Here is a 12,968-nt window from a genome sequence, read left to right as displayed (position 1 = left end):
AATGATTTAAATGACTGAAATGTCACACTGACATTCATGACCAAACATGCTGATGGAATTTATGAATGCACAACTGTACCTCAAGCCACCGGGATTCGTTTCTGGCCTTCCTGCCTCAGGTGATTTTTACACCTTTGTTTGCTGCTGCCTTGTACTGGGATTCACTCATTTCACAAAAAAGCAAACTAAGGTTAAGAGAATGTCAGTGGTTTTGCAGAGATGCTGCAATCAATTGCACAGAAAGCAGTAAGGGAAGAAATTCTCATCTTGACATTGTCTGGGCCAGTCCTCCTGGAAATTTGACCTGGCAGATCAAATGTCCAGAAGAAGTAGCCTGGACCTTGGGACAGTGTCATTTTGTGTGCCTGTCTGCACCTGCAGTTTAGATGTGGAAAGATCAGTTATTTCTTTGAAAAAAAATAAAAAACAGGAAAGAAAAGTTAAAGCTGAGAGTTTAGAAGGTAAGACCTGCAGCCTGATTCTCTATACGACAGAGCTTCCCAAATACAAGGCAGGACCTGGTTACAAAAGACCAAAGCTCTTGTTTAATTGCCTTCCTCTTATAAGGAAGTGCCCCAGCATGCTGATTCAAAGCATATCCAAAGTAGAAGAGTAAGATTTGTTTATGTTTATCTGCTTTTTTTGGGGGTGCAACTTTTGAAACTGTCTATCATTTCAACATTTCCAGTGTAAAAGGATTAATAGAGTGATAGCTCCCCCGAGGACAAACAGGTGAGCAGATAGTACAAGCCAGATTTATCATCCCAATAAATCCACTTTTCAAAACAAACAGTCTTCGCCTTTGGAAAAGCATGATTCTCTCCCATTTCTGGGCAAATGACTATAGTTTCTTTTTCTGGGAAGAAAGAAAAGTATTTTGAATAGGTTCTGAAACGATTAATCAATCTAACCAAGCTTGTGGTTTCATTTCAATTAATGCCTAGTTTAAAACAGCTAATGACATCAAGAGAGAATGACTCATAACAAAAGCAACTTGCACAGCCCACATTAAAAAAGTCCATGTGAATAGCATCATCACCACTAAAGAGTAATAATTAAGCAACCCATATGATCATGATGCAATGAACTTGAGAGGAGAAATGATAACAATGACAACGCTACATAAACTTTAATTGGATAAGGTAGCCACAATCCCACAGAGAATCGGACTATTTATTTAGAAAATGGAACATATTTATTGACTGTAAGACAAAATTACATGTACAGGAGTTTTTCCAGACTGATCTCAAAAAGGCATGTAAACCTTCATTCTTGTGTGTATGTGTGTGCGTGTGTGCACGCACACACACACAAGCGCTAAATACACAGGTAGTCACATATTCTACTAGGTGCCATATGGAAATCGTTTTTCAATTAGGCTAAGTTTAAAAGCTTCATAGTTAAGATCGGAGGCTGACAAACTTCAGCCCACAAGCCAAATTGACCCACCACCTGTTTTTTATAAACTTTCATTGGAACACAGCCATGCTCACTCATTTACGTATTGTCTATGGCTGCTTTCGCACTCAGTGACAAAGAGCTATGACAGAGACTTCATGATCTGCAATGCTCAAGATATTTACCCTCTGGATCTTTACAGAAAAAAAATTGTGAATCTTTGATTAAGATAATGGATACCTTCTGACTCACACATCAGTCAGCATGCAAACATTGTTCAAGTTTGAGTCAACAAGCACTAGACTTTTTTTCAGATTATTGGAAAGTGATGTTAAATATCAGGACACACTAAGCATTCAGTTAAAAGGAACTTTTGAGACTTAGCATAATTGCTGCCTTTGTTTTCTCTCTCTCTCTCTCTTTCTTCTTAAGACAGGGTCTCACTCCCATTGACCAGGCTGGAGTGCAGTGACGTGATCACAGCTCACTGCAGCCTTGACTTCCTGGGCTCAGGTGATTCTCCCACCCCAGCCTCCTGAGTAGCTGGGACTACAGGTGCATGCCACCACACCCAGCTGATTTTTTCTTATTTTTAGTAGAGACGGGGTTTTGCCATGTTGCCCAGGCTGGTCTTGAACTCCTGGGTTCAACTGATCTGCCGGCCTCGACCTCCCAAAGTGCTGGGATTACAGGCATGAGCCACTGCACCCAGCAACGCTTGTTTTCAATCTCAATTTCTTTGAAAACATTTTTGAGCTATGTTCTTGATATGATGATAGAATACATATATATTATCTTAATATATAATATATATTATAAAAGAATACATTATTTAAGTATATAAATATCATTGAAATGGAGCCACACTAATGTTACTCATCCATAGTTCAAGAGCTTCATATATGCACAAGGCTTTTCTCACTATTTCATATGAAAAGATACACTTAACACCATAATGACATTTACCATCATTCTTTATCACTTCATTCTATGTCACTGCAAACTTCAGGGAGCTATATAAATAATCAGGGGTGGCTGAACATTCATCTAAAAATCTCCTGTTACCAAAAGTATGAAACTACACATAATTCTAATACCATTGTGAAATACATCTTTCCTGGATAAAACAATCACTTACCCCTTACAAAACAGATTATCTTATTTCAAAAAAAATTACTTGCTCATGGAGAAAAAGCTGTGATTAAAAGTGCATTTGGGGTGAATATAAACATAGGGTAGGGAGCCAGGAAAAGGAAAATCTTACAGAATATGGTCATGGGTTATTCTACACTACCTGGATATATTTCAAGGAATATTTCATTTTTTCCTCTATTTCTAAGTTCAATATTTCTAATTTCATTTTTCACACAGAGCCTGTTAATTATCTGTAGGTGATATAAAATTGTCTTCTTTTTTTAAAAAAAATCTAAATGTAAGGCCTTTTGCTGTTTGAGGCTAAGGATTGAGCATAATATGCATCACTACTGTCATCTTCTGTCAAACCCACGCCCTGAAGGTGACACAGACTGTGATGAAATATAGTACGGTAGCAAGGATTGGGTTATACTGTATGTAGATGCAGGCTGTCACATTCATGATCTGGATCAAGGATACATGACCTCATTCCATGGCTAGTCAACCTAGAGCAAGTGTAATTTATTGGCGCCAGGAGGCCTCATTATGATCTGGCATTCAACACAGCCCATTCCTCTTACTGAAGTACACATCTTAACTCCCTCACAAAGAAAAATTATAGCTACGTAAGAAATCCATATTACTAGGCTTCATTTTATTGACAAGATTTCTAAGGTAGCAGAAAGAAAATAAATTTGCCAACCCATTTTGGAACATATGTGGCATATTAAAATGATTATGAAAAATGAATAAGAGATGATCATTCACTTGAAACCACGTTGAAAACATTGGGATAACCCTTTTATGATACTTAGCCAAAATCACCACCTCTTGGGAAAAGATTAACCTGCCATTGCTTAATTTAGGACTCCAAAATATCCTTAATGTCTTGAAAGCCACTTGTAACTATAATTTCTCTTTATAGTTGGACGTATCTCCACCCACACCACACTGCTTTCTAAGTTTCACACAAAGACAATATGGTGTGCTGGCTCCTTCCAAATGATTCATAATGAGCTCTTTTAAAGAAATTTGGAAGATATAGCCCAAGAAGCAGAAGTTTCCTTTGACTAAATAATAGGATTTTTGCCTTTTTTGATGCAAAGGCAAAATTTTGGAGCAAGGAAGAGGTGTGATATAGCATATAAAATTGGAGGCATATAAGATACTAACATCTGCTCATGGGCTTATGTGAGAGTTTTCCAGGAACGTTCTATTATAAGTAATTTAAACAAAGGCAGCCATTTCAAAACCAATGGAAATGAAGGCCTGCATTTTGGGAACGCCAGGAAAGGGAAAGGAAAGGTGTCAGGAGGGACACGGATTTCTTTACTCACTGGTGTTCTAAGGTCTGGAAAAAAAAAAAAAAAAAAAAAGCAGAGAGTTGCCGTCAGAAAGGTCAATCTGGTTTCCTTTCCATGCTGTTGCTAAAAGCCTGTACGACCTTTATCTGGGCAGATAATGAACTAGTTATTATCCCAACGCAAGGTCCTGACTCTTTCTACACTCCCCATCATCAACTCGCCATGCTTAATTCAATCTGTGTTTATGCAACTCAAAGTAATCCCACCAGATTCAGCCAGCCCCTTTCCAGACAGCGATACTGTTGCTAACATGAGGGTGGTATCATTTTCAGAAGGATGAGGAGAAAGCTTTATCATGACAAGGAGACCACCCTCAGACACAGCCATTTTTTTAGTGTTCTGGCATGTTTGGGGGTTTTCATTTCTCAGTGGATCTGAGATAAGCCACCCGGAGAGCCTTTAATTGTTTCTTTGAGGCTATTGTTATTTATACTCTATGGACACTTGAAAGGCAACTCTCAGGATCTCAGTAAAAAAGGGTTTCATTCTCTGAATCTCACTCTAGGCACAGAAATACTGGCTAGGCAAGAAATCCTGGATGTTAGAGCTGTTTTGGAAGCAGCATTTTTCTAAAAAAGCATTAAGTACATAAAATTTCTCATTTGTGCCACAAGTTTTGCTCAAGTCCTACCCTGTTTACCTAGGCCTCATTATTACCCCATTATAGTATTAATCAGTGCCATTTGCCAAAGGAAAGCTTTAGCTCTCCTCCTTCTTAGTAAGATTGTTTCACCTACTTCTTTGAGGTTGGATGTGGCCATGTGACTTGCTTTAGCCAATGAAGGATGAGCAAAAGTGGTATGTGGCACTTCTAGGTGAAAACTTTGGAGCCAGTATACAATTTACTATATTCTCCTTTGTGACACGTGTCAGAATGAAGCCTCCATCAGTCCAGATCCAAGAACAATTACAACTAACAGAGCACCCCTGGTGACACCCCTTAGACATGTAGCGTAGGGGAGAAAGAAACATTTGTTATATGAGCCATTGAGATTTGGGAGATGTTTATTGTCATGGCATAACCCAGCTTATCCTGACCTTCCAGTTTCACCTTTTTACAACTGCTGCTCTGGCTCCAAAACAAGAGCACCTGTCTGTAATTGACAAGCTTAGGAGAATCCCCATGGAATAGTAATTTAAAAAAAAAAAAAAAACATAATGGAAGGAAAAGACAAGGGCACAGTAAACCTATGTTCAATTGACCATAGATTTTCATTAAGTGCTCCTGCCTGACTCATTTAAGATGCTTCACACACAGTACTATGCTTTTTAACATGAATAGTCTAGTACCATGTTTAATTATCATCACCTTTGTCTTGTTCGGGAAACAGCAGATGTTACAGTGGGCAACAAGTACCTTGTGTTATGAACTGATTGTTTGTACCCAAATTTCATATGCTGAAGCCCTAACCCCCAGTGGGGCTGTATTTGGAGACGGGGGCTCTAAGGAAGTGATTAAGGTTAAACAAGTTCATGAGGGTGGAGCTCTGATCCAGGTGAATTAGCATCTTTATCAGAAGAGACACCAGGGAGCCTGTATGCTCCCTTGCTCTCTCTCTCTCTCTCTCTCTCTCCTCTCTCCGTCGGTTTCTCCCTCTCTCTGTCTAACATGTGAGGATACAGCAAGAACGCAGTTATCTACAAGACAAGAAAAGGGCCCTCACCAGAAACTGAATTGGCAGTCACCTTGATCTTGGACTTCTCAGCCTCCAGAACCATGAGGAATTAATTTCTGTTGTTTAAATAGTCTAATCTATGGTACTTTCTATGGCAGCCCTAGTAGACTAATACATACTGGGACTAGTCAAATGGGCATCCGATGACATGAGTTGGTAATTACTTGGAAAAAAAATTCTCTCAGGGCTGAGGCACTAGAATAAAAGAAAAGAGCTTATCCTAAGGGAGAAGGGAGAACAAGTTGGAAGGAGGGATTTGAACAATCCTTGACAGACGGATGTTGTTTTGTGGGAGCTCAACAAATACTCCTTATGTACTGGGCACTGGGGATGGGGCTGGGGACACAAAGACAAAGGACACATGGGCCCTGACTCCAAAGAACTCATAATCTAGTGGAAAACACATAGAATAAACACATTGCTTCAATACCACAAACATCTACTGAGCACCCACCATGTGCTATTAAACATCACGCTGGGAGTTGAATCAAGCAATACATTAATATTGATCATCTGATCATTCTTTATAGAGGTGCATATACTGTTCAGGCAGGTACAGTGGCTCATGCCTGTAACCCCAGAACTTTGGGAGGCCGAGGTGGGAGAGTCGCTTGAGCCCAGGAGTTCAAGTCCAGCCTGGGCAACATGGCAAAACCCCATCTCTACAAAAAATACAAAAATTAGCCAGGTATGGTGGCACATGCCTGTATTCCCAGCTACTAGAGAGGCTGAGGTAGGAGGACTGAGTCCAGGAGGTGGAGGTTGCAGTGAGAGGAGATCACATCACTGTACTCCAGCCTGGGTGACAGTGAGACCCTGTCTCCAACAACAACAACAACAACAAAAATACATATACTGTTACGTTATGAGCAGAATCAATAAATAACGGGGTGGGTAGGGGCATGGGGAAACAAATGCTCCCTGGCCTCTTCACCACATGACAGCACTATTTTCTATTTTCTTCAGAATGTTGCCCCATCTTCTTGGGTCACTCTCAGTCTGGCTGACTTACCCTGGGAGACCTCAAGAGAGAGTCTGACCAAGATAGAGTCTTAGAAACAGTCAGTGCTCACTAAAAATGAACCAGTAACAACCAATCTTCAGCTCCACCATGTAAATTGCTTGGTTCAAATAAAAGGTTATATGGTCACATGTCTTAATATGCAATTCAAAGTAAGTGATCACTACACAGTATCTGAATGAAGCACACCATTCAGCTATCATGACTAGTAACAGAAGCAAATGTGAATTCTTACCTGAACACTGGCAAAATAATCTTCCCCCAAAAAAAATCAACACTCCTCAGAAAGAGCTTGCTTTTCAGAGCCTTTCCTAAAATCTTATGATTCAAGCCTTACATCCTCATGTCAGCCTCATTCAAGAGACCTAAAGCCAGATCATAAAAGACCCATAAGTTCACTGTTGGAGAAAAATTGGGTTATAATCCCTAAAAGAGGTGGTACAGATGCCATCCAAACTGTCTAGGCTTTTTATTACTATTAGGAAAATCAAGCAATTGGAGAAGGGCTTCAAAATATGGTTTATAGGGATGAGAAGGGAGGGTGAAAAAGGAAAACAAAATATAGTATTAAAAAAACAACACTCTGACACCAGAAGAGGAAACACCACAATCTCCCTGTAACTCTGGATTTACTACATTAATCTTTTAATACAGAAAGGATTTGCTGAGACAGATACCAACATAGATATTATTAGATGTCGGTCATGCTCTGCTTCTGCAAAAACAATGCATGGGAGATGATGCCAGCAGATGTAGGTTTCTCAGGTATACCTGAGCCGTTGGGAGGAAGGAAGGATGGAAGGTTTGGGAATTGACATGGCCCAGTCCTTCTTCCACAGGGAAACTTTCTTTCTGCTGTTAGGATTTTGATGCTAAAAATTTGGTGTTAGGTTCTGTGAGGTAAGCAACTCATCCTCACCCTCTTTGCCCCTGGCTGCATCCTCCCACATCACAGTCAACCTTTAGCTTCTCCCTCTTCCTCTGCAATGGCAAAATACAGAAACTAGACTATAATAGACTGGGGAAACTATAGCCTTCATCTTTAATTAGGTAGGATGGCAAGGTAACGTCAGCTTTCTGTCTGAGTAAGGTTGGGAGACAGCGTTAATGATTCCTGAGAGTGCAACAGTAGTGTGTCCTAGCAAGCGCACACACAGACATTTATTAAAACATCCTAGCTCCGTGGTGTTTTGTTTTGTTTTGTTTTGTTTTAATGAAAAAGAGTCCCATGGCACAACTCCACCTAGACACTGCTGTAACTAGCTGAGATGTGTGGTGCTGCAACCTGGGAAACATTTTAGCTGTCTTGGTTTTCTCCACCAACAATCGAAGGGGACACTGGAAGGCATGGATCCACAGCTCACAGAGATGTAAACATAGGGGAGGATTTTGTGGTAGCTTCTTGCAGACCCGCTTGTTTAGACAGGAAAATAAATGGCCAGTGTTGAGGGATAAGGTCAGTCATGAGACATATTTTCCAGTCTCCCTGACTGCAAACTAAGAGGACATCTTCTAGAAACTACTTTACCAATGTGGACAAGGGGGTTTGGGGTGGAAATGGCAGGAGAGGAAAAGCAGCCACGTGGTCTTGGGAAAGTCGTCTGAGCTACTTTGAGCCTCGGTTTTATCATCTGTAAGACTGACATAATAACTCTTGGCTTTCTTACCTCACCATGTTGTTACAAGGATGAAATGAGATAAGGTGTGGGAAAGTGCTTTAGAAAATTCTGAAGAGCCACCCACGATAAGAAGTTATTATATCCCAGCTCATCCAGAAGTTGTCTTTGGAGGCAAATTTTCAAACTAAATTGTTGGTCCATGCTAGCTCTCACAACGTGGTTCTCTTGCTTCTGCCTACCCACCTGGGGAATGAGTTCTCTTCCACCCATAGGGAACTGGATTGTGGGTGAAGCCTGAGTGGATGTTTCAGTTGAGGAAGCATGGCCTCAGGGATGCTCTAACTGTGAAACAGAGAGTGGACACGTCACGTGTGCTATTACACACCTGTTCTCTCTCAGGCAGGGGAGGGACAGGCAGCTGGGTGCATGCACCAGCATGTCACACACTGCTTCCATCAACCTACGAGGCACGTGTGGAAAAAGCTGACACTGTCACAGTCTACAAAATCCAGGAAGCAGTCCTCACTCCTCTTCTCTGTTACCTCCTCCTTTGTCCTCTCCAAAAAATGAAAATTCAAGATTAATTTTTAAAAATCTCTTTCCCTGTTGGATTTGAAGGAAAGCACCTCACTGGGAGCTGGACTCTTAGGCAGCACTACTCTTCTCTCTATCATTATCCGTAACCCTTCCAAGGTGCCCAGAGCCCTGAAATCCACTGTGATTAGTCATCACATGTCCCTCCTGATGATTAAACTGAATCACCTAAGAATCAAGATGAAACCTAGAATCCAAAGTTCACTCATTCAACAAATATTCACTCAGCTCCTACCACATTCCAGGCAGGCACTAACTGGTGGCATGCAGAGACCCACTACTTGCTCACCAAGCCTGCTCATGGCTAGATGACATTTTCCAGCAGCTCCTGCAGGTATATGCAGTCATATGGCTGAGTTCCAGCCAATGGAATATGAGTGGGGGTTTAGTACCCAACTTCCAGGCAGAGCCCATTAAAAACCTTCCTATACAATTCTCCATTCCCTCTTCTTCCATCTGTCTGTCAGATGCAGGCTTGGAAAGAGAGGACAGCCCTAGGAGATAAGAAAACTACAAAATGAAAGGGGCCTAATTGCCGAATAACAGTGTAGAAGGTTATCTACTGAACACCCACATTGAATTCCATGTGGGTAAGACATAAAACTTCTGTTGTCTTCAGATACTGAGACTTTTGGGGTTCTTTATTACAGAAATTAGCCTATTCTGACTATAGAATTGGGAGTACAAAGTGGACTAAGTCATGGTCCCTGATCCTATGAAGTTTCCAGTTTAGTGGAAGAGCACAAAAATGAGCAGGTAATTGCAATAGAGTGAGATAATTGCCACGGAGAGAGAGAGAGAGAGAGAGAGAGAGACAGAGTGTTACGGGCAACTAACTCAATGGGGAGGGTTAGTCAGGAAAGCTACCAGGAAAAAAGTGGTATCAAAGTTGGGACCAGAGGGAGCTGTATGAGGTGCTAGAGAGCTTGGCGTATAAGAAGGAAACAGAAGAATCTTAGAACTGGGGCCATGGCAATGAATCTAGGGAGGCAGAAGGAGAGATTAGGCTGGAGAGAGGCTGGGACCAGGCTCATATGGTCTTGAAAACCAGTTCATTTAGATATTATTATAAGAAGCCATGGAAGAATGTGAACTAGGAATTGTACCTTGCAAGATTTCACTCTGCAGGAGTGTAGAGAATGGATTAGGGGAGAATAAGGCAAGGCAAACATACTCACCAGTTGAAAATCTCTTCCAGAAACCAATATAGTGCTTCAGACTCTTAGACATTGACACCAACCCGGATCCCACCCTCCTTACTGCACACTTTGGTCATTGTTATTTAGACCTTTGGCCACCTTTTCTGAGGGCCCACTCTTAACAGAATCACTTCTCTCTGGCCCTGGTGCTCCCTCCCTTTCTAATTTATATCCCTCTTCCTGCCAGCCTGGCCTAACTCCCAGCATCCTTTTCAGTAAGCCCAGAGGGAATTACGACACAAAGCAAGAGGCTATACTATTCCGTCTTATACTCCTTATAAACAATGCCCATTAAACATCCAGCATTACACCAAGAGACAAGTGCCTCTGAAAACAAGGACAGGACAGCGAGGTGATTTTTACTACAGCATTAGCAGCCACACACAAGCAAACAGTCTGTCAGAAAGACAAGTGGCAGCTGTCTAGAAGGGCAGGCACAACCACTATAGAAATATAACTAAAATAGCTGCACCTGTCCGGGTAGCACTAGAAACTTATGAAAAGGTAAGTGGGGAGGGGGCTTCAATCTGAGGGATCCACCAGGCAATCTGGTTCCCAAGGAGAACTCAGGCCCCTCAGCCACAAAGGAGCAGATGTGGCCAGGAGTGAAGGACACTAAGAGAGAGGGAGCCAGGAAAAAAAAGATCAAGAAGGGCCTGGGGCAGATTTCTATTTAAAGCACAACCTTAAAAGGGGACAGAGTCTTATTTTTATTCAACCCTTGTCCAAGTGCAAAGAAATAGCAGTTTATTTCCCACATTCATCTCCTGCTCCCCTTTGAATGACAGTGTGGACAGCATGGCTACATTTCTCATTCTGTGGGTGAGATGCCAAAGTGTTCAAGGTTGCTCTAGTGTTTATTCCATCACCAGATATTACTGGTGGAGACTGGGCTACATTTACCAGCAGGAATGTGCCCCATAGTAGTACTTTCAACCTATGAATGTTCCACCAAGAACAGTGGGAGAAAATGATCCAGCCCTGCTCTCAGCCACGAAAACATGCCACCTCAAGCTGGGCTTGGAGCCTGCAATCGTTCTTTGTCCTTGGTCAGCCCTTGTAGCAGAAGCTGGCTAGCTGTTCAGCAAACCTGTTTATCTTTTCCTCCTGGACACATAAGTAGACTGTATGTGCCAATCTCTCCTGCAGTTAGGTGTGGCCATGTGACTGAGTTCTGGCCAAAAGAATGTGAGTGGAAGTAAAGAAAGTTACCTCCAGGCCTGTTCCATAAAACCCTCCCAGGTTCAATCCTCCATTCTCTTTCCCCATCCAGCATATGGGTGGGGAGGCCCAGGACCTAAAGATCCAAAAGACCAAGGACCAAAAAGATAGCAGAGACAAAAGATGGAAAGAACCTGGGTCCCTGAGTCACTATTTGGAGGAGAGCCATTGAGGATGGTCACCTGACCAAGATCAGACAACTGTATGAGAGAAATAAAGTTTTCTTGTGTTCAGCCACTGAAAGTTGGAGTCTGTTTATTACAGTAGCTAGCCTAATATGACTAAAACAGCTCCCTCTCTTATTCTTTTGAATGGGAATTTCAAATCTTCAACATTTTCCTCAAGCCCCCTAATACCCTCTACTCTTGGTAAAGGACATCATCTTATTTTTTAACAGCTTTATTGAGATGAAATTCACTCTTTAAAATGTGTAATTTGATGGTTTTTGGTATATTCACGGAGTTGCACAACCATTATCACTATCTAATTTTAGAATATTTTCATCACCCCTAAAAGAAACTCCATACTCATTAGCAGTCACTTCCCATTCCCTTCTTCCCAGCCCTAGACAACCACTAATCTACTCTCTGTCTATAAATTTATCTGTTCTGGATATTTCATATCATTAAGATCATGCAAATGTGTTCTTTCACTTAGCATGTTTTCAAAGGTCATCCATGTTGTAGCATGTATCAATAATCTTTATTGCCTTTAGTCACCTTTTTATTGACAATGTTTTATTGCATGGATATCCCACATTTTCTTTATCCATTCATTGGTTGATGGACATCTGTACTATTTCAACATTTTGCCTACTATGAATAGTGCTGCTATGATCAGCAATGTACATGTTTTTGTGTGAGAATATGTTTTCAGATCTCTTGTATATATATTTAGGAGTGAATTTGTTGAGTCATATGGTAACTCTACATTTAACATCTTGAGGAACTGCCAAACTGTTCCCCAGCAATGTATAACGGTTCCAATTTCTTCAGATTCTCACCAACACTTACTATTGTCTGCCTTTTTTATTTTATCCTTCCCAATGGGTATGATGATGTGGTATCTCGTTGTGGTTTTGATTTGCATTGCCTTGGTGACTAGTGATGTTGAGCATCTTTTCATGTGCTTATGGCCATTTTTATGTCTTCTTTGGAGTAATATCTATTCAAATCTTTTGCCCACTTAAAAAATTAGGTTGTCTTTTTATTGTTGAGTTATATACTTTCTTTATGTATTCTGGATACAAGCCTGTTATGGGTTGAATTGTGCACCTTGAAATGATATGTTAAAGTCCAATCCCCAGTACTTGTGAATATGACCTCACTTGGTAATAGGGTCTTTGCAGATGTAATCAATTTAAGATAAGGACACACTGGATTAGGGTGAGCCCTAGCTCCAATGACTGTTATCCTTATAATAAGGCCATGTAAAGACACACTGAGAAGACAGCACCATGCAAAGATGGAGACAGAATGTAATCATATGTCTGAAAGCCAAGGAACACCAAGAATTTCTGGCAACCACCAGAAGACAAGAGACAGGCAAGGAAGGATTCTTTCATAAAACCTTCAGAGAGAGCATGGCCTTGTTAACACCATGATTTTGGACTTCCAGCCTCCTGAAATGAGAAAATTAACTTCTGTTGTCTTATGCCACCCCAGTTTGTGGTAAGTAGTCACAGCAGCCCTAGGAAACTAATACAAAGTGCCTTTTCAGGTAAATGACCTGCAAATACTTTC

The 12,968-nt window shown here is 41.1% G+C and overlaps 1 protein-coding gene across 2 annotated transcripts in view, besides 1 other annotated feature; it reads right to left on the bottom strand.

Annotated features, from left to right (window-relative positions):
- NHS (NHS actin remodeling regulator) overlaps positions 1–12,968 on the bottom strand; it is a 360,795-nt gene that overhangs the window by 321,570 nt on the left and 26,257 nt on the right. The window lies entirely within an intron of this gene.
- Positions 4,256–4,797: an enhancer, noted in NCBI's record as "OCT4-NANOG hESC enhancer chrX:17427751-17428292 (GRCh37/hg19 assembly coordinates)". NCBI's record gives its function as "activates a minimal SCP1, AML or CMV promoter by ChIP-STARR-seq in naive H9 embryonic stem cells {active_cell/tissue: H9 hESC(naive)}" and the evidence as "EXISTENCE:reporter gene assay evidence [ECO:0000049][PMID:30033119]".

The sequence above is a fragment of the Homo sapiens genome, chromosome X, assembly GCF_000001405.40.
Source record: "Homo sapiens chromosome X, GRCh38.p14 Primary Assembly".
NCBI lineage: Eukaryota > Metazoa > Chordata > Mammalia > Primates > Hominidae > Homo > Homo sapiens.
The sequence above is the reverse complement of the archived record's forward strand: the minus strand, read 5'-3'. Positions and strand labels throughout refer to the sequence as shown.